This window comes from Homo sapiens, chromosome 19 (assembly GCF_000001405.40).
Source record: "Homo sapiens chromosome 19, GRCh38.p14 Primary Assembly".
Lineage (NCBI taxonomy): Eukaryota > Metazoa > Chordata > Mammalia > Primates > Hominidae > Homo > Homo sapiens.
This window is the reverse complement of record NC_000019.10, coordinates 469606-496201: the sequence shown is the minus strand read 5'-3', so window position 1 is coordinate 496201 and position 26596 is coordinate 469606. Positions and strand designations below refer to the sequence as shown.

The 26596-nt window shown below is 58.1% G+C and overlaps 1 protein-coding gene and 1 long non-coding RNA gene across 7 annotated transcripts in view, besides 6 other annotated features; one reads left to right on the top strand and one right to left on the bottom strand.

Moving 5' to 3' along the window:
- Positions 349-398: a silencer, noted in NCBI's record as "silent region_9602". NCBI's record gives its function as "represses an Ori minimal core promoter by ATAC-STARR-seq in GM12878 lymphoblastoid cells {active_cell/tissue: GM12878}" and the evidence as "EXISTENCE:reporter gene assay evidence [ECO:0000049][PMID:35858748]".
- CIMAP1D (CIMAP1 family member D) overlaps positions 4578-26596 on the top strand; it is a 28264-nt gene continuing 6245 nt past the window's right edge. Inside the window, exons 1-3 of one of the 6 annotated variants that reach the window (NM_001385599.1) lie at positions 4578-5070; positions 5849-5955; positions 23701-23808. Coding sequence is in view for 2 of the 6 variants with exons in the window: in NM_182577.3 (NP_872383.1) it covers positions 21455-21581; positions 23701-23808 (235 nt within the window). In the remaining 4 variants the exon portion in view is untranslated. Of the gene's footprint in view, positions 5071-5848; positions 5956-21218; positions 21582-23570; positions 23809-23893; positions 24049-26596 lie in introns of those variants that run through there. The other 5 variants (NM_001385598.1, NM_182577.3, XM_005259545.6 and 2 more) reach the window with 5 other exon arrangements.
- Positions 6132-7036, bottom strand: LOC124904608 (uncharacterized). The gene is made up of 2 exons (XR_007067072.1): positions 6497-7036; positions 6132-6336 (listed from the first exon to the last, which is right to left on the bottom strand). It is a non-coding gene; the product is annotated as an uncharacterized LOC124904608 (long non-coding RNA).
- Positions 6224-6725: an enhancer, noted in NCBI's record as "H3K4me1 hESC enhancer chr19:489477-489978 (GRCh37/hg19 assembly coordinates)". NCBI's record gives its function as "activates a minimal SCP1, AML or CMV promoter by ChIP-STARR-seq in primed H9 embryonic stem cells {active_cell/tissue: H9 hESC(primed)}" and the evidence as "EXISTENCE:reporter gene assay evidence [ECO:0000049][PMID:30033119]".
- Positions 6647-6696: a silencer, noted in NCBI's record as "silent region_9601". NCBI's record gives its function as "represses an Ori minimal core promoter by ATAC-STARR-seq in GM12878 lymphoblastoid cells {active_cell/tissue: GM12878}" and the evidence as "EXISTENCE:reporter gene assay evidence [ECO:0000049][PMID:35858748]".
- Positions 6767-7396: a silencer, noted in NCBI's record as "silent region_9600". NCBI's record gives its function as "represses an Ori minimal core promoter by ATAC-STARR-seq in GM12878 lymphoblastoid cells {active_cell/tissue: GM12878}" and the evidence as "EXISTENCE:reporter gene assay evidence [ECO:0000049][PMID:35858748]".
- Positions 10031-10549: an enhancer, noted in NCBI's record as "H3K27ac-H3K4me1 hESC enhancer chr19:485653-486171 (GRCh37/hg19 assembly coordinates)". NCBI's record gives its function as "activates a minimal SCP1, AML or CMV promoter by ChIP-STARR-seq in primed H9 embryonic stem cells {active_cell/tissue: H9 hESC(primed)}" and the evidence as "EXISTENCE:reporter gene assay evidence [ECO:0000049][PMID:30033119]".
- Positions 25316-25853: an enhancer, noted in NCBI's record as "H3K4me1 hESC enhancer chr19:470349-470886 (GRCh37/hg19 assembly coordinates)". NCBI's record gives its function as "activates a minimal SCP1, AML or CMV promoter by ChIP-STARR-seq in primed H9 embryonic stem cells {active_cell/tissue: H9 hESC(primed)}" and the evidence as "EXISTENCE:reporter gene assay evidence [ECO:0000049][PMID:30033119]".

Below are 26596 nucleotides of genomic sequence, written 5' to 3'. Positions count from 1 at the left end.
AGTGGGACAGAGGCTGGGCAGCGCCGCCCCCACCCCGACGGCGGGTCCCCTGCACTTTCTTTTCTTTTTTTTCTGAGTTTCGCTCTTGTTGCCCAGGCTGGAGTGCAATGGTGCGATCTCAGCTCACCGCAACCTCTGTCTCCCGGGCTCAAGCGATTCTCCTGCCTCAGCCACTCCAGTAGCTGGGATTACAGGCATGCGTCACCACGCCTGGCTAATTTTGTATCTTTAGTAGAGACAGGGTTTCTCCATGTTGGGCAGGCTGGCCTCGAACTCCCGACCTCAGGTGATCCGCCCACCTCGGCCTCCCAAAGTGCTGAGATCACAGGCGTGAGCCACCGCGCCCGGCCCGCCTGCACTTTCCCGGGCGGCCGCACAGGGGCGGTGGAGAGCAGCCCTCCCCCGTTCCGGAGCTGCAGGCCGGGTCTTGTTGGCTGGGGTCCCCTGGGGGTCAGGTGAAGGTCGCTGGGGATGGAGGCCCCCTGGACTGAAGTCTCCTGGCCGTGGTGGAGCTGTGAGACCCTCCAGGACGTGGGACAAGTCACCCCATCTCTGAGCCTGGCTTCCTTCCATCACACGGGCAGAGGCCGCCCACCTAGCAGGCCTGGCTGGAGCCTGGGAGCCCGAGTAGGGGCTGCCTCTGTTCCTTGGTCTACACTGAGACCTGGATCTCGGTCCACAAGAGGGATCTGGAAGGGATGCTGGCTGGACTCCCACTCACAGCTGCCATCAGCGAGTCCTGGGAACCTCATCTTCCAAACGCACTGGAATCCACCCACCTGTTCCTCCAAGCCCCGCACACTGGTTCTGTCTCCGCTGGTGGCTTGTTTACCCCCCTGCATCACCGGGACCCTCCCAGGGCCTCTGGGACTCTGCCCGGGCTGCTCCTCACCTTACCCAGGTTCTGCCCACCCCCTCACCCCCTCGCCCCCCACCCTCCTCCGCTGTGGTTCCCAGGGTGCTCTGCTCCTAGCTCAATGAGGGCCTGTGGTGGCAGTCGTGATGGCTGGCTCCCCTCCACCCAGGGGCCGGTCCTGTGACCCTGGACCCCATGCACCGCAGGCACGCGGGAATAAAATGATGGAGCATTCCTGCTGACCTCAGGGTCTGTCTGTGCCTCAGTTTCCCTGGCCATGGAATAAAAAGCAGCAGCCAGTCCATGGGGTTCCAAGCATTGCCAATCGGCTTACCTGTCAGAGGAGGGAAACTGAGGCCCAGGGGCAGGGCTGGGACCAGAGGAGGGAAACTGAGGCCCAGGGGCGGGGCTGGGACCAGAGGAGGAAAACTGAGGCCCAGAGGAGGGGCTGGGATCAGAGGAGGGAAACTGAGGCCCAGGGGCGGGGCTGGGACCAGAGGAGGGAAACTGAGGCCCAGAGGAGGGGCTGGGATCAGAGGAGGGAAACTGAGGCCCAGGGGTGGGGCTGGGACCAGAGGAGGGAAACTGAGATCCAGGGCAGGGCCTGGGTGCAAAGGAGGGAAACTGAGGCCTAGGGGAGGGGCTGGGTGCAGAGGAGGCAAAATGAGGCTCGGGGGAGGGGCTGGGTGCTGAGGAGGGAAACTGAGGCCTAGAGGAGGGGCTGGGTGCAAAGGAGAGAAACTGAGGCCTAGAGGAGGGAAACTGAGGCCCGGGGTGGGGAAACAGTCCCCTCAGAGGTGAGGGCCCAGGTGTGTGAGCTCACAGCCCTGTCTCCCTGGGTCCCATCCCCCTCCTGCCCAGGCTGGTGCCGGGAAAGGCCTCACCGGAAAGCAGACTCCGAGGAGGGGCCCTCCCCAGGCCGGAGGTGCAGGCCCTTCCCGGGAAGCTGGGCCCTTAACCCGGGCGGGGGGCAGCAGGCCTGGTGAATGGGCTGTTTCCCAGCCCCCGACCCTACTTCCTGCAGGTGGGGAGGGACCACTGGGCGCCAGGAGGGCTGAGGCCCCTTGCAGGGTGTGTCCCAGCTCTCCAGGGCCCTGTCCCCCGCCCGCCCGCTGGGTCACGCGTGGTGATCACGCTGCTCACAGTCCCCGTGTGCCGAGCCCTCACATCCACAGGCTTGTGGGGGCGGGGAGACAACAAAGCTGGGGTCCCCCTGAGGACAGGGCAGGTGGGATGGACACAGGAAGGAGGAGGGAGGGTTCCCAGAGGCAGAGGGACCCGCAGGTTTCAACGGCCAGAGGTGGGGAAGGCGGGGGTGAGGGAGACACAGAGACAGAGAGAGAGAGACAGAGACACAGAGAGACAGAGACAGAGTGAGGAAGAGAGACATAGGGAGACAGAGACACAGAGAGGGAGAGACAGATCAAGGAAGAGAGACAAGGCAGAGAGACACAGGGAGATAGAGACACAGAGAGACAGAGACAGAGCGAGGAAGAGAGAAGGCAGAGAGACACAGGGAGACAGAGACAGAGACACAGAGAGGCAGAGGCAGAGGGATGGAGAGACCGAGGTGGGCCAGCAGCCTGAGGGCCGGGGAGGACCCTGAGACCCCTGGGTCTGAGTCCTAGTCCCACAGGAAGGCCTACACCGTATCTTCCGCCGGCAACGGGGACCTCCTTTTTGTCCTTGGGAGACTCGACCCCGCCCCCAACATCAATCCCCTTCCCGGCATTGTCCTCGGCGGCCTCCGTCAGGAAGCCCCCTTCCCATGGAGGGTCCCAGCCAGGAAGCCCCCCTTCCCATGGAGGGTCCCAGCCATCCCACCAGCCCCAGACCCCACATCCTGGCCTCCCTGTCCACAGCTGCCGAGGGAGCGTTCCAGATGACTGTGTTGCCCTGAGGGGAAGGGGCTGTGAGGGCGCCGTTGTCCAGGAGCGGAGCACGCCCCAGGCCCTGACAGACCCTTCTTGACCCAGCTGGGCCAGCTCTCCTGTCTCCCACCCACTGGTCAGTTCTGGGGTCCTCATGGCTTTTTCTTTGGAGTGAGGACCCCCATCACGGCAGGGCCTCCTTGTTGGACAAGGCTTGAACCCAGTCCAAGGACCCCAGACCTGAGGGTCGCAAGGAGAGTGGGGGAGGAATGAGATTGATGGAGGCTGCAGGAGGGGGTTCAATAAGTAGCCATGTGCATGCATGTGTGTGTGTGCATGCGTCTGTGTGCGTGCATGCGTGTGTGCGTGTGTACGTGTGGAGTTGTAGCCATGAAGCCCACGATGGGGGTGGGCCTGGCTCCCGCATCAGGTTTAAGGAGGAAGGATCGACCGGGCGCGGTGGCTCACGCCTGTAATCCCAGCACTTTGGGAGGCCCAGGCGGGTGGATCACGAGGTCAGGAGATGGAGACCATCCTGGCTAACACGGTGAAACCCCGTCTCTACTAAAAATACAAAAAAGATTAGCCAGGCGTGGTGGCGGGCGCCTGTAATCCGAGCACTTTGGGAGGCCGAGGCGGGCGGATCACGAGGTCAGGAGATCGAGACCATCCTGGCTAACACGGTGAAACCCCGTCTCTACTAAAAATACGAAAAAAATTAGCCGGGCGTGGTGGCGGGCGCCTGTAGTTCCAGCTACTCAGGAGGCTGAGGCAGGAGAATGGCGTGAACCCGGAGAGGCGGAGCTTGCAGTGAGCCGAGATCGCACCATTGCACTCCAGCCTGGGCGACAGAGCAAGACTGTCTCAAAAAAAAAAAAAAAAAAAAAAAAAAAGGAGGAAGGAAGGATCTTCGTGGCCCACCTGGCACAGGTCCCTGAAGGAACCCTTGTCCGAGTCGAGTCCCTCCCCGCAGGCTGGCCGAGCTGACCACGTCGCTGAGCCTGGGCAGAGCTGACAGGCCTCCCTGGGGTCAGTGACCGCCTGGTGAGGGGCTGGGGCAGTGCTCAGTCTCCAGCAGCCCCGGGGAAATTGGACATGGAGCCTCAGGCGATGATGCTGGTGTGGTCTCCACGGCAGCCCCACCTGAGCTAATCAGGAGGGGTCTGGGGGGATGGGGGTCCATGGGGCAGGAGGCACACTATGGTGAGAGCCGGCTTGGGGCTGGCTCCGCCCAGGGGAGGGGGGGCTTGGGGCTGGCTCCGCCCAGGGAGAGGCGGGGCCTGGGGCTGGCTCCGCCCAGGGGAGGGGGGCTTGGGGCTGGCTCCGCCCAGAGGAGAGGCGGGGCTTGGGGCTGGCTCCGCCCAGGGGAGAGGCGGTGCCTGGGGCTGTCTCCTCCCAGGGGAGGGGGGGCTTGGGGCTGGCTCCGCCCAGGGGAGAGGCGGTGCCTGGGGCTGTCTCCGCCCAGGGGAGGGGGGGGCTTGGGGCTGGCTCCGCCCAGGAGAGAGGCGGTGCCTGGGGCTGTCTCCTCCCAGGGGAGGGGGGGCTTGGGGCTGGCTCCGCCCAGGGGAGAGGCGGTGCCTGGGGCTGTCTCCTCCCAGGGGAGGGGGGGCTTGGGGCTGGCTCCGCCCAGGGGAGAGGCGGTGCCTGGGGCTGTCTCCGCCCAGGGGAGGGGGGGGCTTGGGGCTGGCTCCGCCCAGGAGAGAGGCGGTGCCTGGGGCTGTCTCCTCCCAGGGGAGGGGGGGCTTGGGGCTGGCTCCGCCCAGGGGAGAGGCGGGGCCTGGGGCTGTCTCCGCCCAGGGGAGGGGGGCTTGGGGCTGGCTCCGCCCAGGGGAGAGGCGGGGCTTGGGGCCGGCTCTGCCTGGGGAAGCGGCGAGGCCTGGGGCCCTGGTCAGCTGCTCTGACGCCTTGGTGCTCCCGGGGGCATCTCCAGGCTCACCCCAGCTTCCACGGCCCTGTCTCACGGGTCAAAGGGCCACTCAAAAGCTGCTTTGAAGACGGGGGCCCAGCCAGGAGCCGCACAGGCCTCTCCCGAGGGTCTAGGTGGCTAGAAGGGCACAAGCCACACGGCGTCGCGTCGAGAGACTGAAATTGTCTATGAACCGCCCTCGCCGGGTTTGAGACTAGAGAGCTGGTGTTTACACGACGTCGCAAACACCATAAAGGGCACTAAACTGTTTCTTTAAAAGCCTTCTTTTTTTTTGAGACGGAGTCACTCTGTCGCCCAGGCTGGAGTGCAGTGGTGAGATCTTGGCTCACTGCAACCTCCGCCTCCTGGGTTCAAGCGATTCTCCCGCCTGAGCCTCCTGAGTAGCTGGGATTATAGGCACGTGCCACCATGCTCAGGTAAGTTTTGTATTTGTAGACTTTTTTTTTTTTTTTGAGACAAAGCCTCACTCTGTCACCCAGGCTGGAGTGCAGTGGCACGATCTCAGCTCACTGCAACCTCTGCCTCCCAGGTTTAAGCAATTCTGTCTCAGACTCCGGAGTAGCTGGGACTACAGGCGCCTGCCACCACGCCCAGCTAACTTTTGCATTTTTAGTAGAGACAGGGTTTCACCATATTGGTCAGGCTAGTCTCAAACGCCTGACCTCAGGTGATCCGCCCGCCTTGGCCTCCCAAGGTGCTGGGATTACAGGCGTGAGCCACCGCGCCTGGCCAATTTTTGTATTTTTAATAGAGACGGGGTTTCCCCATGTTGGTCAGGCTGGTCTTGAACTCCCCACCTCAAGTGATCTGCCCACCTTGGGCTCCCAAAGTGCTGGATTACAGGTGTCAGCCACCGCGCCTGGCCCTGAAGCCTCCTTTCTAACACGAATATCAACTTAGAAACGGACGCAGCTATTGGAAAACATGTGCAACAGCTAGGGTTTGTGAAGCCACTTTTCCAACTAGAACTTTAGTGGCCTGAAGTGCAGGTTGAATATTTCCTGTGAGAATTAGGAAGTGGACACAAATGTGCAAAATACACACTGGGCTCTGAACGCTCAGCGTGAACAAAGAGTGTACAGCATCTCAACATGTATTGCTTATGAATCGAAAGGATAGTATTTTGGACACAGTGGATTAAATAAGATAAAGATACATCTTTGTTTTACGTTTCTTTCTTTCTTTTTTTTTTAGCTGGAGTTTCACTCTTGTCGCCCAGGCTGGAGTACAGTGGTGCTATCTCGGCTCACTGCAACCTCCACCTCACGGGTTCAAGTGATTCTACTGTGACGGCCTTCCAAGTAGGTGGGACCACAGGCATGCGCCACCACGCCCGGCTAATTTTTGTATTTTTAGTAGAGACGAGGTTTTGCCATGTTGGCCAGGCTGGTCTCAAACTCCTGACCTCAGGTGATCCACCTGCCTCGGCCTCCCACAGTGCTGGGATTACAGGCGTGAGCCAACGCGCCCGGCCTTGTTTTATGTTTCATACGATTTATTTTACTTACTACCACCCATTTCTTTTCTTCTTTCTATCGTGGCCGCCGGACGTGGGGCTCCCGCTCCGCTTCTGGGGACGCCGCTCTGGCCTCTCTCAGCACCGGGCAGGGGCCAAATGTGGGTGTTCGCCCTGGGTCGGGGTTCAGGCAGAGCCGCAGCCTCCTGGCTGGGAGGGTTCTCGCCTGCAGGCCGGCGGCCTCTGAGGACGACTCGCTCTCCATTCGCCACCCAACCCGCGCTGAGTGCTGGACATCCCGAGCGCGCTCTCCGTCCCTGCAGTTCCTAACGGGTTGGGAGGGTGGTTCTCCCCCGGCCGCAATCCCGCCCCCAGGAGGCACTAACCCTAACGTGGCATCTGGGGCCATCTGTGGTTGTCACGACTGGGAAGGGGGAGATCCTGGCCTGCACGGTCACCCACAGGCCCGACGGCCCCCGGGAGCCTGTTTCGGGTGCAGCACACCCGGGCTGGATCGAGCACGGTCGGGGAGGATGCGGGGCTGGGCCAAGGCCCTCGGCTCTGCAGGGAGGACGGAGAGCGGGTCCGGGGGGTCCGGGGAGGGAACGGGGCCGAGGCTCTGCGTCCACTGCCGGGCCGATGGGCCATGGGCTGCGAGGGCGGGTCGGGCGTAGAGGGTCTGGCTGGGAGGGCGGGTCAGAGGTCGGGGCCGCGGGCTGCGAGGGCGGGTCAGAGGTCGGGGCCGCGGGCTGCGACGGCGGGTCGGGAGTCGGGGCTCGGCCTGCGAGGGTGGGTCAAGGGTAGGGGGTCCCGGTCGGGGCCGCGCTCAGCACTCAAAGCGCCGCCATCCCTGCTGATGACATTCTCGACCCGCAGGGCGCAGCTGACCAGCCGCTCCCCCTCCTTTTCCGCGGGTGCAGCTCACTGGCCCTGCCACTGCGCGCGCACCCACCCCGCCCACAGCTCCCGGCAGCTCCCGCGCGGCCCCCGCAGCTGAACCACAACTCCCGCCATGCCGCGGAGCGCGGGGCGCCGGGGCGTGTGGCCCACAAGGCTTTGCGCGCTGGCGGGGCCGCTCTAGCCCGCGGTCCTCCGAGTTCGTGGCGGGCTGATGCGGGCTTGGGGCGGGCGGCGCGGACGCCCTGGCGGCTGTCTCGCCCCGTGGTCGGTCTCCTCGCGTTCCCACTGCGGGGCGCCCCGGCTGCCCTTGCGTGGGGCCCGGCACGGGGCGGCCGAGGGGGCGTCCCCGCCGCGAGTCTTCCAGCGCGCTGGTCCCGGGAGGCCTGGCCGTTCGCCCAAGGAGCCTGGTGTCCCCGGGCGGAGACTGGGAAGCCGGGTCCTGTTCCCCGGCGCTGGGCTCGCTGCGGGGGTCGGGGCCGCAGGGCCCGGTCGGGGATCCAGGTTCCGGGACGCGGATTCTGGAGTAGGGGCTGCGGGGCTTCCGGCCCGCTTCGCGGGTCAGGGTCACCGGGAGGCCGTGGTTGCGTTGGGGGTACCCGGACGTCAGTCCCAGCAGCGCGAGGGACGAGGGCGCTCGTTAGTTCCACACTGATTTACTTGTTATTTTTTTGAGACGGAGTCTCGCTCTGTCGCCCAGGCTGGAGTGCAGTGGCGCCATCTCGGCTCACCGCAAGCTCCGCCTCCCGGGTTCACGCCATTCTCCTGCCTCAGCCTCCCGAGTAGCTGGGACTACAGGCGCCTGCCACCACGCCCGGCTAATTGTTTGTATTTTTAGTAGAGACGGGGTTTCACCGTGTTAGCCAGGATGGTCTCGATCTCCTGACCTCGTGATCTGCCCGCCTCAGCCTCCCGAGGAGCTGGGATTACAGGCTTCAGCCACCAAGCCCGGCCTTTTTTTTTTGTATTTTTAGTAGAGATAGTGTAGCAGGAAGAGCCGCAGACAAAACTCCTCAGACACCCAGTTAGAGAAGGAAGCGGTTTATTCGGCCGGGGCCATCGGCAAGACTCCTGTCCCAAGAGCCGAGCTCCCCGAGTGAGCAATTCCTGTCCCTCTTCAGGGCTCACAACTCTCAGGGGGTCCGCGTGAGAGGGTCGTGATCGATTGAACAAGCAGGGGGTACGTGACTGGGGGCTGCATGCACCGGCAATCAGATCGGAACAGAACAGGACAAGGGTTTTCACAGTGCTTTTCCATACAATGTCTGGAATCTATAGATAACGTAACCCAGTAGGTCAGGGGTCGCTCTTTAACTACCAGGCCCAGGGCACAGCGCCGGGCTGTCTGCCTGTGGATTTCATTTCTGCCTTTTAGTTTTTACTTCTTTCTTTGGAGGCAGAAATTGGGCATAAGACAATATGAGGGATGGTCTCCTCCCTTAATAGAGTTTCACCATGTTGGCCAGGCTGGTCTCGAACTCCTGACCTCAGCTGATCCCCCCTGCCTCATGCTTGTTATTATTTTGACACAGGGTCTCACTCTGTGGCCCAGGCTGGAGCGCAGTGGTGCGATCTCCACTCACTGCAACCTCCGCCTCCTGAGCTCAAGCAATCCTCCCGCCTCGGCCTTCCAAAGTGTTGGGACCACAGGCACACGTCATGCGCCCTGCCAGCACATCTTTATTGAGTGCCTGCTGTATGCCAAGCGTTGTTTTAAGTGCCAAGGAGACAGCAGAGTGCAAGGTGGGCTGACCTCGGCCCGAAGGAGCTTACATTCTAGTGAGCAGCAGGGAAGAGAGACCATGAGCCAGGCTAGTTATGCCATAAACCTCGGGCATAATACCGAAGTGGTGCTGTGCGGAGAAATGTTGAACAGCTGGCTCTCCAAGGGAAAAGGCCCTCACTTGCAGCGCACGCCGCCCCCTGTGTTGTAAATACTCCCATCGTGGCTGCCAACATGAGCCAACCAGCTCACAGATCGCCGCGAACTTCACAGTGGGCTCAGGAGCTGGCATGAGCAGCTCCAGCCGCCGCTGCAATAGGTGAGGCGTGGAGAGTGCTGCTGGGAAGAAGGAAAAGGCAGGGAAGGGGGCAGGCAGCATGATGATAGGCAGGTTGCAGGATCAAATCTGTGGTCCCGATAGGCCGGGCATGGCGGTTCACACCTGTAATCCCAGCACTTTGGGAGGCTGAGGTGGGCGGATCACTTGAGGTCAGGAGTTTGAGACCAGCCTGGCCAACATGGTGAAACCCCATCTCTATTTCTTTCCTTCTTTTTTTTGAGATGGAGTCTTGCTCTGTCGCCCAGGCTGGAGTGCACTGGCACAATCTCGGCTCACTACAAGCTCCGCCTCCCGGGTTCACGTCATTCTTCTGCCTCAGCCTCCTGTGTAGCTGGGACTACAGGCGCCTGCCACCACGCCTGGCTAATTTTTTGTATTTTTAGTAGAGACGGGGTTTCACTGTATTAGCCAGGATGGTCTCGATCTCCTGATCTCGTGATCTGCTCGCCTCAGCCTCCCAAAGTGCTGGGATTACAGGCGTGAGCCACCGCTCCCGGCCCCATCTCTATTAAAAAAGACAAAAATTAGCTGGGTGTGGTGACGGGCGCCTGTAATCCCAGCTACTTGGGAGGCTGAGGCAGGAGAATCGCCTGAACCCACCAGGCGGAGGTTGCAGTGAGCCGAGATTGCGCCACTACCCTCCAGCCTGGGTGATAGAGCAAGACTCCATCTCAGAAAAACAACAGAAACAAAAAATCAATCAATCAATCAGTGGTCCAAGGAAGATCCTGGAGGTGGAGAGATTTGAGCAAGGCCTTCCTGGAGGGGGAGGGAGTTGGACCGGGTGTATCAGGCAGAATGTACGGTGAGTGCAGAGGCTGAGTCCGGAGGGACCAACGCAGCCAGAGAGGGCAGGAAGGACCTGGGCTTGTAGGACCTTGCAGGCTACAGCAGAGCCCACTAGGACCCCTCTCCAGCCCCCCAAATCCTCGGAATACAAGCCCTTCCTTCCTCTGAGCTTCGGTGTCCTCGTCTGTAACATGAGGACTTGCCAGGCATGGGCTGGGTGCCCAGCAGAGCCTGAGAGCTGGTCCTGTCCTCACTGTCCCACGGGGACAGCAGGCTCTCTCTGGATGAGGATGGAGGGGAGCTGGCAGGTTCTCTGTGTCCTTGCGGGAAGAACAAGCCTTCCTTGTTAGAGTCTCCCGGGAACAAAGGGGCGGGCAGCAGCAGGGCGCGTGAGTCTGAGTCAGGGGGCTGGCCGCCGGACAAAGGACAGCAGTGAGCAGCCTCAGGGAAGTGGGGAGTGGCAGATCACGGAGGCTGGGAGCATGAGCTGACCCTGGACGGGCCGGTGGCAGCAGCCACAAACACCTGGCCTCCCCCTCTCCTGCTGTGCCGTGTGCCAGGGACACAGAAACAGCAGGTCATCGGAGGAACCCGGCCTCCTGGGAGCTGCCTCCCAGCTGTCGCACCCTCATCTGCAGCCGGAGGATGTGTTTTAGGAAAGAATGTCGGGAACTTGGGGCTGGCACCGTGGCTCACACCTGCCCTCCCGGTGCTTTAGGGGGCTGAGGTGGGAGGATCGCTAACCCCAGGAGGTCAGGGCCGCCTCATTCCCACCATTCTCTGATCACCCTTCTCCACCGTCAGTGAGCTGTGATCGCGCCAGCCTGGATGGTGGAGTGAGACCTTGTCTCTAGAGAAAAGAACGGTGGGACTTGGATCGGCAGCAGCCACAGCAGTCATGTCTGTCATCTGGACTATTGTAGAGCTTCATTCCACTCACTGGCTCAGCAGGCACTCACTGCGCACCTGTTCTGGGCAGGCGGTGTTTGGGATGCCCAGGGCGCCACGGGGCTCGGGCACGCCCGGCTCCTGCCTCTTCGTGTTCCTATGTGAGCACGCGTGTGTGTGCGCGCCTGCCTGTGTGTGCCTCATCGTGCGCACCCACGTGGTGTAAACGTGCACCTGTGTGTGTGTGTGTACGTGTGTTACGTGGTAGAGCACGGCAATGACCCTCCATAAACAACTAAGCAGGTCAGCAGGGTCCTCCGCTGGGTTGAGGTTGCACCCGCCCTTCCAGGACCCTCCCCTCCTCTCACTCCCCTTCACCCCACAGCGTCTCAGAAAATCTTGTGAGTTCTGCCTTCAAGACAGGCCCAGAACCCACCCACTCCTGACCATCCCACAGCAGCCCCCAGCCCAGGCCCCGTGGTGCCCACCTGGGCTGGTGTGCTCGCCTCCCCCGGGCTTCCCTACCCCCACCTTCCTACCCTCAGTCGATTCCTTCAAACCCAATTCAGGCCGTGCCCTCCTCTGCTCCAGCAGAGGCCTCCGTGGCTCCCACCCTGCTCAGGGTAAAACCCTGTGTCCTCTCCGTGTCCTCAGGGCCCTTCACGACCTGCTGGGTCAGCCCCGCCCTCCCTCCTCCTGCTCTCCCCTCCTCACCCTGCGGCAGCCACCCTGGCCTCCTCCTCGCTCCTCCGCCTCGCCAGGTGCGGTCCTGCCCCAGGGCCTTTGCACAGCGGTGCCCTCCCCAGACACCCCGTAGATGTCTGCACAGCTGGGCATCCCTTAGAGGTCCTGACTTCCTCCAGGCCTTTGCTAACGTTTCACCTCTTCAGGGGGCCTTCCTGGCCACCGTATGTGAAGACCCAACTCTGCTCTGAGGTTTCCTTTCTGTGATCACGTCACTGCACACTCCAGCCTGAGCACAGAATGAGACCCTGTGTCAAAAATAAAACAAGAGGCCAGGCGCGGTGGCTCATGCCTGTAATCCCAGCACTTTAGGAGGCCAAGGCGGGCGGATCACCTGAGGTCAGGAGTTCGAGACCAGCCTGACCAACATGGAGAAACCCCGTCTCTACTAAAAATACAAAAATTAGCCGGGCGTGGTGGCGCACACCTGTAATCCCAGCTACTCAGGAGGCTGAGGCAGCAGAATCGCTTGAGCCCGGGAGGCAGAGATTGTGGTGAGCCAAGATCGCGCCATTGCACTGCAGCCTGGTGACAAGAGTGAAACTCTGTCTCAAAAAAAAAAAAAAAAAAAGAAAAAGAAAAGAAAAGAAAAAAATAAATAAAACAAGAGAGACATGTGTTCACAGCATTATTTGCGGTTGTTCCGAGCTAGAAGCAGCCTAGAAGCTCTGAGTAAATCATGGCATCTTCATGGGATGGAACGTTGCCCAGCAACAGAAGTGAGTGATGGACAGCTGTCACCCACACCAGGACTGATCTCACAGGCAGGGTGGGAGGTCTCATGAGTGCACCGTCCCCTTCCCGTGCCGCACAGAAGAGGCAAAGCGGGGCCTGGCTTTACAGGCAGGATGGCGGCTGACAGGTAGAGGGAAGGAAGATGGCTGCAGGGGCTTCCGGGGAGCTGGGGACACAGTGTTGATCCCAGAGCCGGCCCCATGGGGATTGATTGATCCCAGAGCTTCCGGGGACCCATGAGAGGAAGAGCTGATGGCTCTCTGCTGCAGGGTCTTCCGCAGGCCCTGTGGACATCCCAGGTGGGGTGGTCCCGGCCACTGCAGGGTGCCTAGCGGCATCCCTGCCCCCACTCACCCCATGCCAGGAGCTCCCCCAGTCGTGACGACCACAGGTGTCCTTGGACACTGCCCAGCGTCCCCTGGGGGCAATCACCTGGGTTGGGAACCCCTGGTCTGTTGATTTCAGCCCACCATGATCTCATAGCTCCGTGTCACTGGAACGAGGGTGAGCCTGCATGCCTGGGGGAGTGGTGAGGGAACTCAGGCAGGTGGAGGTCTGTCGGGGAGGAGCCTGTGCTAGACGCAGTGGCAGCCAGGATGGGCGTCTGTAGGGCTTCCCATGGTCATGTCTGAAGAGCTGGCTCTGGCTGACATAGAGTGGCCTTTTGGGGCTGGGAGAGGCGTCCCAGGGATCCCTGAGGAGGTGGGGGTGGGTGTTGGGGGGGGATGGGGCCCTGGACTGGGCCGTGGCTGTGAGGTGGAGAGCAGCAGTCAGCTGCTGAGTGGGCTTTGGATCCAGGAAGCGGCCCCAGGGGTTTGGATCCAAGTCAGCATGGGTCTGGAGGTGCCATTTGCTGGAGTGAGGGAAGGCTGGAAGAGGATGTTTGAATGATAAGGGGCCAGATGCCCTTGTCTTCAGAGTGACCCTGTGGAGTCAGGCTGACATATGCCCGTTTTTCAGAGGAGGAAACACATGCACAGTGGTGCAGTGATTCATCAGGGACCACACAGTGTCTAATCCAGAAACCCTGGTTCATGGGCGCAGGAGGTCTGCCTGGGAAGTTCACTGCAGGAAATTGTAAAGGAGGTGAAGTGGGAATAGCCTCGGTGCCCGTCGAGGGGCGGGGCTGGGGTGCTCGTATGATGGCGGCCAGGGTGGGTGACATTCAGACTGGCAGGTGTAGGTGGGCAGGACAGTGCAGGGCCAAGAACATTCTGGACTTGAGTCCTAGGTCCACACTCCTGCTGGCTTTGTGACCTCCGCCTCTGTCCATGGTGATAGGCATGGAACAGCTCGTGGGGTGGCGCCTGTGAGCACAGAGCTGGCAGCAGAGCCGTTCTGCATGAGTAATCTGCTGTATGCCAAGGACGCCCTGCCGATCTCACCCTGTATGCAGTAGGCGATTAATAAGTGCCCATCCACTAAGGCAGCATTTCCCCATCTTGACACCATTGACATTTGAGGGTCTTCTCTTGGGAGGAACAGCGTTGTAGTTCTCCAGTCACTAGATGTCATCAGCACTCCTGGTCCTGGCAGCCAAGAATGTCTCCAGACATAGCCAAGTGTCCCCTGGGGGCAGCAACACCCATGGCTGAGCACCATTGGCCCAAGGGATCAGTCCTAGGCTCTACTCTCTAGACCTGTGCTGCCCGACACAGCGTCCACAGGTCACAGGTGACGCTGGAGCACTGGAACTGTGGACGCTCCACACTGAGGCAGAGAGTGCAAAACATGCCAGGCTGGGAGGACAGCATTAAAAGAAGAATGTGAAATATCTCACCTGTAATGTTCATATGCAGAAATGATATTATTTTGGATATGGGGGTTAATAAAATGTATTATTAAAATTAATTTCACGTGTTTCTCTTTTTTTGATACAACTACTAGAAAATTTAAAAATGGCCGAGCATGGTGGTTCATGCCTGTAAACCCAGTGCTTTGGGAGACTAAGGCAGGGGGATTGCTTGAGGCCAGGAGTTAAAGACCAGCCTGGGCAACATAGCAAGATCCCATCTCCACACACAAAAAAGAAATTAGCCAGGGATGGTGACACATGCCTATAGTCCTAGCTACTCCAGAGGCTGAAGTGGGAAGATCACTTCAGCCCAGAAGTTGGAGGCTCCAGTGAGCTATGATTGCACCACTGCACTCTCCAGCCTGGGTGATAGAGCAACATATTGTCTCAAAAAAAAAAAAAAAAAAAAAGTAGGAGGTTCTCAGTCTGTTTCTGGTGGGCAGTGCTGCTGTGGGTGATCAACTTTCTGGCTACACCATGAGCTTGGTGAAGATGAGTTGGTCTTGGTTGCCATCATCCTTCCCATTATCCTTTCCCATCATCCTCCAATCATCCTTCTCGGTCATCCTCCCATTGTCCTTCCCATCATCCTTCTCCATCATCCTTCCCACCATCCTTCCCATCATCCTTCTCCATCATCCTCCATCATCCTTCCCCATCATCCTTCCCCATCATCCTTCCCATCATCCTTCCCATCATCCTTCCCCATCATCCTTCCCATCATCCTTCCCCATCATCCTTCCCCATCATCCTTCTCCATCATCCTTCCCATCATCCTTCCCCATCATCCTTCCCACATTCCTTCTCCATCATCGTTCTCCATCATCCTTCCCATCATCCTTCTCCATCATCCTTCTCCATCATCGTTCTCCATCATCCTTCCCATCATCCTTCCCATCATACTTTCCCATCATCTTTTCCCATCATCCTTCCCATCATCCTTCCCATCATCCTTCCCCATCATCCTTCTCATCATCCTTCCCCATCATCCTTCCCACATTCCTTCTCCATCATCCTTCCCATCATCCTTCCCATCATCCTTCCCCATCATCCTTCCCACATTCCTTCTCCATCATCGTTCTCCATCATCGTTCTCCATCATCCTTCCCATCATCCTTTCCATCATCCTTCCCCATCATCCTTCCCACATTCCTTCTCCATCATCATTCTCCGTCATCGTTTTCCATCATCGTTCTCCATCATCCTTCCCCATCATCCTTCCCACATTCCTTCTCCATCATCCTTCCCATCATCCTTCCCCATCATCCTTCCCACATTCCTTCTCCATCATCGTTCTCCATCATCGTTTTCCATCATCGTTCTCCATCATCCTTCCCATCATCCTTTCCATCATCCTTCCCCATCATCCTTCCTACATTCCTTCTGCATCATCATTCTCCATCATCGTTTTCCATCATCGTTCTCCATCATCGTTCTCCATCATCCTTCCCATCATCCTTCCCACATTCCTTCTCCATCATCGTTCTCCATCATCGTTCTCCATCATCCTTCTCCATCATCCTTCTCCATCATCCTTACCATCATCCTTCCCCATCATCCTTCCCATCATCCTTCCCCATCACCTTCCCACATTCCTTCTCCATCATCGTTCTCCATCATCGTTCTCCATCATCCTTCCCCATCATCCTTCCCCATCATCCTTCCCCATCATCCTTCTCCATCATCCTTACCATCATCCTTCCCCATCATCCTTCCCATCATCCTCCCCTATCATCCTTCCTGTCATCCATCCTCATCATCCTTCCCAGCATGTGACGCCCTCTCCCGGCACCGCCCACGTTTTGCTCTCCCAGATGTCACCAGAGGGCGCTTGTGAGCTCTGATTGGGACGCGTCCCTGCTCACACGTCACCCGTGTCCCCACAGTCCACAGGCCGTGCAGGACCCGCCGCATCGGCTTCCTCCCGGCTCCTCTTCTCCTTGCTCACGCTGCTCCAGCTGCACGGGCCTCGTCGCTGTTTCTCCTACACACCAGGCAGGTCCTGCCCCAGGGCCTCTGTGCGTGCAGTTCCTGTCAGCCTGGAATGCCTCGCCCGCCTCCCGAGTTCGGCTTCTCCTCTGGTCTCTGCTGGAGCGTGACCTTCTCCGCGAGGCTCCCGACCTCCCAGTTCACATCGCAGACGCTCACACCACCAACCACCCTGTGGCTGACCGCCACAGTTACTGCCTGAGACCGTCATTATAAGACTGAACGAAGGGACAAACGTAGAAAATGATAACAAGAAACAAAGGAAACTTTTAAATAGAAATAAAAACTTAAAAGTAACTATTTTAAAGGAAGGGCAACGTGGGGAAGAAGAAGAGAGAAGGAAAGAGAGAAGAAGGGGCCGGGCATGGTGGCTCACGCCTGTCATCCCAGCACTTTGGGAGGCCGAGGCAGGCGGATCACAAGGTCAGGAGATCGAGACCAGCCTGGCCAACATGGAGAAACCCCCGTCTCTACTAAAAATACAAAATTAGCCGGGCACGGTGGCTCACGCCTGTAATCCCAGCACTTTGGGAGGCCGAGGCAGGCGGATCACGAGGTCAGGAGATCGAGACCAGCCTGGCCAACATGGAGAAACCCCGTCTCTACTAAAAATACAAAAATTAGCCGGGCGTGGTTGCGCACGCCTGTAATCCCAGCTACGCGAGAGGCTGAGGCAGGAGGATCACTTGAACCTGGGAGACAGAGGTTGCAGTGAGCTGAGATGGCGCCACTGCACTCCAGCCTGGGCGACAAGGGTGAAACTCCATCCCCCCCCCCCCCAAAAAAAAAAAAAGAGAAAAAGAAGAAGAAAAGGGCTCCCTGCTCCTAGTGAGCAAAGGCAGCTTCCTGAGCTTCTACAGCCCTTAGTATTTATTGGGTAACAAGAGCAGAGAGGAGGAGGTAACGATTGAGCAGCTGCTTAATTGATCACAGGTTCATATTGTTACTGACGGGCTTCAATTATGCCTAATCGTAGGAAACATTTGTGCCTGGGTGGTGATGGCCCTCAGCAGCCCTTCTGCACGGCAGACGCAGTTTGTCAGTTTGCCAACATTCTGCATTTACGAGAACAGTTTGCTGTCTACTCATATAGCCCCCCAGTGGTATACTGAGTTGATCACGGCCCTCACTCTTTCGGCCTCCAACACCCCCTTCGCCCACGTTTCCTCCATAGCGCGACGTGCCCTCTGCACTCACGTAAGTTTCACTTATCTGCCTGCCTGTCTCCAAGGGAAAGGGAGGACGAGGAACTTGTGTGTTTTGTCCTCTCCCGTTTTCCCAGCACCTGAGCAGGGCCTGGCCCCAAATAAACACTGGCTGAGTTCCTAATTACGGTGAGAACAAGGGTCTCGGGAGCACCAACGGAGTCACCTCCCACCCAGGACACCCAGGCCGGGCAGTGACGTCCCTCGCCTGCAGCCGGCAGCTGGGCGGGTGGACGTAGGGCCGGCCTCCGGCCTCTCATCCGGTCCAGCCTCCCTTTTTTTCACTGTTGTGATTTAGTCTCTTCTGTCGAGCAGGCAGGATTAAAATCAGGGCTCATCTGCATGTGTGTTGAATTCATTTGCATCTCATTTGCAAGCTCTTTGCTTGGCAGTTGCGACAAGCTCTGAGCTGAAGACAGAGTTGATAGAATCTGGTGCGATCAGATCAGAAGGGGACTGGTGGCTGGAGGGGCCCCAGCTCGTTCTGGCGAGGCTGCCGGCCCTCAGCGTCCTCCCAGCAACATGCTGTCGGCTTGGCCGGCTTCCCATCCTGTCTTCCCTGTGTTAGCTTTTGGTTCCACCCCACGTAAAATGGGGAAACGGAGGCAGGTGGGGCCGAGTCCGGGCTGGAACCAAGTCTCTGGCTGTCTGCCTTTAGTGGCTGTCTGGTGTGGCCTGGACCTGGTGACCCGGATGTGAGGAGGGATGGGGTTGGGGGAACACCTTCCAGGCCCTTGTCCCCTCTGTCTCTTTAGCCGTGGGAGCCCCTGGGGTCCTGCACTTCGGCTGGTTTTGGTGAAGGAGCAGCTTTGGTCGAGGGAGGTTGGGGCCTTTCCTCCTCTCTCCCTCCTCGGCACCCATCCCTGCTGTGGCTCTGGAGTTGTGCTGCCTCTGGAAACGAGCAAATGGTGTGTCCAAGGTTGGGCAGTGACAGGGCCTGTGGGCTGGGGGCCCTCGTGACCGAGGAAGGGGCCAGCGAGGGTTGGTTTGCTGGCAGAGGCATCTCAGGTAGAGAGAGCTCAGGCAGAGGCCGAGGTGGAGACCGTCTTAGGGGCTCGAGGGAGGGAAAGCAGGTCCGGATGGTCAGAGTAGAGCGGCAAAGGGGAAGGAGCAGGACGAGAGGACAGGGGGAGGTGGAGACGAGGCCGTGCAGGGCCTGCGTGCCGTGGCGTGGCGCGTGTCTGCAGTCCCAGCTACCCGGGAGGCTGAGGCAGGAGAATGGCGTGAACCCGGGAGGCGGAGCTCGCAGTGAGCCGAGATCGTGCCACTGCACTCCAGCCTGGGCGACAGAGCGAGACTCCGTGTCAAAAATAAATAAATACACAAATAAAAATAAAAATAAAGACCAGCTTTTTTGGGATGGGGAGGAGGCGTTCTTTTTTTCTCTTTTTTTTGATTTTGACGTGGAGTCTCGCTCTGTCACTCAGGCTGGAGTGCAGCGGTGTGATCCTGGCTCAGTGGTGCAACCTCCACCTCCAGGGTTCAAGCGGGTTCAAGCGAGTCTCCTGCCTCAACCTCCTGTGTGGCTGGGATTACAGACGTGCACCACTGTGCCCAGCTAATTTTTTTATTTTTAATAGAGACGGGGTTTCACCATGGTGGCCAGGCTGGTCTCGAACTCCTGATCTCAAGTGATCCGCCCGCCTCGGCCTCCCAGAGTGCTGGGATTACAGGCATGAGCCACAGTGCCCGGCCAAGGGATTATTTCTACAGTTTTCAATTTCATGGATTTCTACTGTTATCTTTACAATCTTCCTTATACTTACTCTTGTTTTCCTAGCTTCTTAGGTGGAAACTTAGGCCTAGGCTGGAGTGCAGTGGCACAATCTTGGCTCACTGCAGCCTTGGCCTCCTTAGGCTCAAGCAATCCTCTCACCTCAGCCTCCTGAGTAGCTGGGATTACAGGCACACACCACCACTCCTGGCTGATTTTTGTATTTTTTGTAGAGATGGGGTTTCACCATGTTGCCTGGGCTGGTCTTGAACTCCTGAGCTGAAGCAATCTGCTTGCCTTGGCTTCCCAAAGTGCAGGGATTACAGGTGTGAGCCGCTGTGCCCAGCCTTCTTTTCTCATATAAAAATTTAAAGCAACCATTTTCCCTCTAAGTACTTCTTTAACTGCATCCTACACAGTTTAATATGTTGATTTTTTATAGTCATTTAGTTTGAAAATTTTCTAACTTCCTTTGTGATGACTTCTTTGATGCGTGGGTTATTCAGAAGTATGTTGTTTAACTTCTAAATATATTTGGGGGATCCTGGATATCGTATTGTTGGTGATTTCTATTTTAATTCCTTTTTCACCAGATAATATGCTCTGTAAGTTTCAAAAGTTTGATATGTACTAAGACTTGTTTTATGATCCTTTATGTAGACTATACCATTTTGATTAAAAAATTTTAAAACATGCAATACATTAAAATTACATTGCAGGGTGAAATGTATAATTGTATGGTATGTGAATTATATCAATAAAGCTGTTAAAGATGACACTGCAGGCCAGGCACGGTGGCTTACGCTTGTAATCCCAGCACTTTGGGAGGCCGAGGTGTGTGGATCACCTGAGGTCAGGAGTTTGAAACCAGCCTGGCCAACATGGAGAAACCCCATCTCTACTAAAAATACAAAAAAATTGGCTGGGCGCGGTGGCTCACACCTGTAATCCTGGCACTTTGGGAGGCTGAGGCGGTTGGATCACAAGGTCAAGAGATTGAGGCCATCCTGGCCAACGTGGTGAAACCCCGTCTCTACTAAAAATACAAAAAAATTAGCTGGACATGGTGGAGTGTGCCTGTAATTAGCTACTAAAAATACAAAAAAATTAGCTAGACGTGGTGGTGCATGCCTGTAATCCCAGCTACTCGAGAGGCTGAGGCAGGAGAATTTCTTGAACCCTGGAGGCGGAGGTTCCAGTGAGCCGAGATCGCGCCACTGCATTCCAGCCTGGGCGGGGGAGCAAGACTCTGTCTCAAAAAAAAAAAAAAAAAAAAAAAAAAAAAATTAGCCAGGCGTGGTGAAACCCCATCTCTACTAAAAAATATAAAAATTAGTCAGGCGTGGTGGCGGGTGCCTGTAATCTCAGCTACTCAGGAGGCTGAGGCAGGATAATCGCATAAACCCGGGAGGCAGAGGTTGCAGTGAGCCGAGATCGCACCAGCGCACTCCAGGCTGGGTGACAGAGTGAGACTCTGTCTCAAAAAAAAAAAAAAATTACACTGCAAAAGGCTCCAAAAAATACAGAAACAAACAAGGAAGAGACAGGAACGTGCATCTCATCTGGCAGTTTTCTGAGCCTCTTCTTGGAGCCTCACGCAGTGGTCGCCTTGAATGTATCAAAATCCATTGTGGTTTAAATCTCGGAGGCATCTGGGAGGCAGTGAGGACGGCTCTCACCTCCCCGCTGTCCTCGCCGCTGCCCCAGGGCCTCTGCACGGCTGCCTCCTCACCTGCTTTGGGACTGTTCAGTTTTACCTTCTCCGTGGGGCTCACCCACACCCACACTGCTACCCTGGGCCCCAAACCTGTCTGCGTTTTCCCTCACGTTCAGTGCCTCCTCATACACCAGACTGTGTTCACTTATCACATTTACTGACGACTTTCTCTCTCCCATCCTGAGAACATCTCCTTCTTTTCCGTCTGTTCGTGTCCAGTTCTCACCACCCCCAACAGAGGCTGGTACACAGTAGGTGCCCAGTACATGCTTTGGCAGGAATGAGTGACAGGATGAGGCAGTGAATGCTTCTTGGCTCAGAGCTGAAACTCCCAGAGTTGTGTACTTGCTGTATGACCTTGGGCTGTGCCTCAGTTTCCCCAGGTGTAGAAACGGGGCCACGCCACCCACGACCCCGCCAGGCCCTCCTGCTGCAAGGCTGTGGGTGTCATGTTTGCAGGTCTAGTTCCCTGGGGCCGGCCCTGGCCCCAGCTGCCCAGCTCTGCCGGCTCCCGGGAGACGCACTCTGCTGACACCGGACTCTTTCCTGGACCATCCAGCCGCCTGGCCGACACTCGATCCCGGCCCCACTTCCAGGCCAGTGTCCGGCCGACCAGCCTGCCTTGGGCCAGGGCCCCACGACTCCCTGCTGCGGGACAAGAGGCCGTCTGTGCGGCTGTGGTCGTGGGAGGGTGTGGTGAGGCCGTGAAGGTGGGGACGGTGCCTGGGCCTGTGGCCGCCAGAGCTGCTGCGGCTCAGAAGGTAGCACCAGGCCCCGTGGGTGCTGTGGGGGCCATCGCCTGCCCACCATGGGGACCCTCAGCTGCGACTCCACCCCACGGCTGGCCACAGCCCCCCTTGGCCGGCGAGTGACGGAGGGCCAGATTCCGGAGACCGGCCTGAGGAAGTCCTGTGGGACGGCCACCCTGGAGAACGGTGCGTGCCAGCCGTGGGGGATGGGTGGGACCTTTTCCTGCTCCACTCCCCATACTTCTGGGGCTTCTGGAATGTTCTGGGAGCCCAGCAGGAGGCAGGAGTTTCAGGCAAGTCCTTGCCCTTCCCCAGACCTCAGTTTTCCTTCCGGCAGGATGGGTGTGGACACGGGGTTGCCGTGAGCCCCGAGTATGTGTCTGTCCAACGGAAGCTGCGTGCTTTGCCAGCCGGGTCCCCTTCCAGGGGCTGTGGGTACAGCAGTGGGCAAAGCCACAGCGATCATGCGGGAGACGCGGGGAGGAGGGAATATTTCCAGCGTGGCCCTCAGGGACGGGCGCCCTAGACAACGTGGGGCAGGGCGAGGGGCGCGTGTGCGGAGGCGGCTCTGCTGGGAGCCACATCAGCTGCTGGCCTCGGTGAGGGCCCAGGACGGGCCGCAGTTTCCTCACCCACAATTAGCGGCTGGAGTCAGGCCCCAAGCCAGGTCCTCGGGCTGGTTCTGTGGTCTCTCCTGATCCCTGTGGCATCGAGATTCTGCAGAAGCCACAACACATGGCGTCTGTGACCGTGTATCTCTGGGAGGCTCAGGCCTCAGTCTCCCCATCTGTGATCGTGTATCTCTGCCTGGGCCTCAGTTTCCCCATCTGTGACCGTGTATCTCTGCCTGGGCCTCAGTTTCCCCATCTGTGACCGTGTATCTCTGCCTGGGCCTCAGTTTCCCCATCTGTGACCGTGTATCTCTGCCTGGGCCTCAGTCTCCCCATCTGTGACCGTGTATCTCTGCCTGGCCCTCAGTTTCCCCATCTGTGACCGTGTATCTCTGGGAGGCTCAGGCCTCAGTCTCCCCATCTGTGATCGTGTATCTCTGCCTGGGCCTCAGTCTCCCCATCTGTGATCGTGTATCTCTGCCTGGGCCTCAGTTTCCCCATCTGTGACCATGTATCTCTGCCTGGGCCTCAGTCTCCCCATCTGTGACCGTGTATCTCTGGGAGGCTCAGGCCTCAGTCTCCCCATCTGTGACTGTGTATCTCTGCCTGGGCCTCAGTTTCCCGATCTGTGACCGTGTATCTCTGCCTGGGCCTCAGTCTCCCCATCTGTGACCGTGTTTCTCTGCCTGGCCCTCAGTTTCCCCATCTGTGACCGTGTATCTCTGGGAGGCTCAGGCCTCAGTCTCCCCATCTGTGATCGTGTATCTCTGCCTGGGCCTCAGTTTCCCCACCTGTGACCGTGTATCTCTGCCTGGGCCTCAGTTTCCCCATCTGTGACCATGTATCTCTGCCTGGGCCTCAGTCTCCCCATCTGTGACCATGTATCTCTGCCTAGGCCTCAGTTTCCCCATCTGTGACCGTGTATCTCTGGGAGGCTCAGGCCTCAGTCTCCCCATCTGTGACCATGTATCTCTGCCTAGGCCTCAGTCTCCCCATCTGTGACCGTGTATCTCTGGGAGGCTCAGGCCTCAGTCTCCCCATCTGTGACCGTGTATCTCTGGGAGGCTCAGGCCTCAGTTTCCCGATCTGTGACCGTGTATCTCTGCCTGGGCCTCAGTCTCCCCATCTGTGACCGTGTATCTCTGCCTGGGCCTCAGTTTCCCCATCTGTGACCATGTATCTCTGCCTGGGCCTCAGTTTCCCCATCTGTGACCATGTATCTCTGCCTGGGCCTCAGTCTCCCCATCTGTGACCATGTATCTCTGCCTAGGCCTCAGTTTCCCCATCTGTGACCGTGTATCTCTGCCTGGGCCTCAGTTTCCCCATCTGTGACCGTGTATCTCTGCCTGGGCCTCAGTCTCCCCATCTGTGACCGTGTATCTCTGGGAGGCTCAGGCCTCAGTTTCCCCACCTGTGACCGTGTATCTCTGGGAGGCTCAGGCCCCAGTCTCCCTGTCTGTGCCCCAGGGTGAGGGGGGCTGCTGTCCCCAGCTTTTCCTCTGTGATTCATGTCTGACTCACAATGCAGGCATCACATTTTGTCCCCGACGGGCAGCAGCCTCTTGCTCCCCGGGGCCCCCAATCCTCACCATGGAGGGAGAGGGGAACCCAGGCTAAGGCTCAGGAGCTGGGTCCAGGGCTCCTTCTTCGGGGAATCTGGGCCCAGGAGGTGACCTGAGGGCTTTGGGCTGCAGGCTCGGGGCCAGGCTTGTATGTCCTGCCGTCCACCGTGGGCTTCATCAACCACGACTGCACCAGGGTGGCCAGTCCCGCCTACTCGCTCGTCCGGAGGCCCAGTGAGGGTAAGGCGGGCGAGTGGGCGGCTGGAGGCTTCCCTGATCCTCCAATCTCCCCCCAGGAGCACTGATGGGTCTCCTTACCCCTTAGATCCAGGCCCCCAGTTAGTGCGGCAGGAAGCAGGCAGGGCTGGGCTGTACAACCTGCTCCACCTCCTACTTACTGTGAGACCTCAGGCAAGCTGCTGTCCCTCTCTGTTTTTTCATTGATAATGAGAATGGAAGGAGAAAGAGCGCAGTAAGGAGGTGAGTACCTGTACCTGCCTTACCGTGTTTGCAATTCCTTGCTGCCTGGACTCAGGCAAATTGCTTAAGTGCTTTGCAACTCAGTTTCTGTTAAAAGTTAACAATAGCAGGCCGGTGCGGTGGCTCACGCCTGAAATCCCAGCACTTAAGGAGGCTGAGGCAGGCGGATCACGAGGTCAGGAGATTGGGACCATCCTGGCTAACGCAGTGAAACCCCATCTCTACTAAAAATACCAAAGAAAAATTAGCCGGGCGTGGTGGCGGGCGCCTGTAGTCCCAGCTACTCGGGAGGCTGAGGCAGGAGAATGGCGTGAAGCCGGGAGGCGGAGCTTGCGGTGAGCCGAGATGGCGCCACTGCACTCCAGCCTGGGCGACAGAGTGAGACTCTGTCTCTAAAAAGAAAAAAAAAAAAAGTTAACAATAGTAACAAAAACATTAACATTATATTAAAAATAATAACAGACTCCATACAGGCCTGTTGTAAGGATTAGATGCCTTTTTGAGATTCATTAAGTGAGGATTAAATGCTTTTAAAAGTAGCCGAAAAGCTGGGTGTGGTAGTGTGTGCCTGTGGTCCCAGCTGCTGGGGAGGCCCAGGCAGGAGGATCACTTGAACCCAGGAGGTCGGGGCTGCAGTGAGCTATGATTGCACCACTGCACTCCAGCCTGGGCGACAGAGTGAGACCTCGTCTTAAAACAAATTTAGGGCCGGGCGCAGTGGCTCACCCCTGTAATCCCAGCACTTTGGGAGGCCGAGGCGGGGGGATCCCGAGGTCAGGAGATCGAGACCATCCTGGCTAACATGGTGAAACCCCGTCTCTACTAAAAATACAAAAAATTAGCCGGGCGTGGTTGCAGGCGCCTGTAGTCCCAGCTATTCGGGAAGCTGAGGCAGGAGAATGGCGTGAACCCGGGAGGCAGATGCTGCAGTGAGCCGAGATCATGCCATTGCACTCCAGCCTGGGCGACAGAGCGAGACTCCGTCTCAAAAAAAGAAAAGAAAAGAAAACAAAAACAAAAACAAATTTAAGAAAAAGAAAAAATAGTAAGTGCTCAGTAAACGTGTGCTGTCGGGTGTGAGGCTGAGCCCTGAGCCCCAGTTTCTCCACCATGAAGGTGGGGGCTCCCCGGGCCTGGCCCGTCTCACAGGGCTGTGGTGTATCTCTGTGGACATTCCCGGCTGCCTGCGGGAGGGCAGGCATGGGGTGCACCGGCTCGCTGTGCCACAGGCTGGTGGCCTTGCCCCATGGTGCCTGCTCCTGTCTAGAACGGGCGCAGTGAAGCAGCTCCGGCGTGGACCCCGCCCGGCACCCAGGGAGCTGTTGGTGTTCATCAGTGGCGCTGCTACCACGGGCCAGCAGGTCTCAGGGCTCCCAAATTCCATCCCTCCATTTTCTACCGCTGCTCCAAGGTCCCAGCTGGGCTGGGAGCGCGGTCGGAAGGGTCTTGTGTGGGGATTTGGACAGAGGCCTGCTGGGAGGGGCGGCTGGAGGAGGGGCAGGACAGCAGCCTGTTCTCAGCCTTCAGAATGAGCAAAAATCCCAGCCCACACTGGGACTCAGGAAGCTGCAAGGGGTCCCAGAATGCCAGTGAAGGCGTCAGCACCCCCTGTCCCCAGGACTGGCTTAAGAACTTAGCCTATGGGCCGGGCGCGGTGGCTCACGCCTGTAATCCCAGCACTTCGGGAGGCCGAGGCGGGTGGACCACGAGGTCAGGAGATCGAGACCATCCTGGCTAACATGGTGAAACTCCGTCTCTACTAAAAATAAAAAAAAAAAAATTAGCCGGGCGTGGTGGCGGGCGCCTATAGTCCCAGCTACTAGGGAGGCTGAGGCAGGAGAATGGCATGAACCCGGGAGGCGGAGCTTGCAGTGAGCTGAGACTGTGCCACTGCACTCCAGCCTGGGTGAGAGAGCGAGACTCCGTCGCAAAAAAAAAAAAAAAAAGAACTTAGCCTATGACCCAGACCGATCTGAGTTCCCAGGTTCAAATCCAGTCTCAGGACACCTCCTGGGCCCGAGACAGCGTGGGGAGGCTGGTGGACTGGGGATCGTGCACACTTTGCTGAAGGCCCAGGGTAGGCTTCTTGGAAGTGGAACATGGGATCTGGGTTTTGTAGGATGAATAGGAGTTTGGTGGAGCCCCCAGAAGAACTGAACTCCAGGCAGAGCCTGTTTGTAGGCTGAGGCCTTGAGATGAGTGATGTCATGATGAGCTGGGGTGTGTTCATTTCTCACGGGGCACTGAGCCAGGGGTTGGGGAGGGCAGAAGAAAAGGCTGGAAGGTTCCAGGTGCAGGGTAGAGGCCAAGGTCAGTGCTTCAGCATGGGGAGTCCTGATGGCTAAGCCCTGCACAGTGAGCACTTTGAGGCGAGTCTGTGGTCACGTGAGTGAGGCCCAGGCATCTGTGGAGGGGCGATGGGATTATGACCAGGGATTTCTTTTTCTTTTTCTTTTTCTTTTTGAGACTGAGTCTCACACTATCGCCCAGGCTGGAGTGCAGTGGTGCGATCTCGGCTCACGGCAACCTCTGCCTCCCGGGGTTCAAG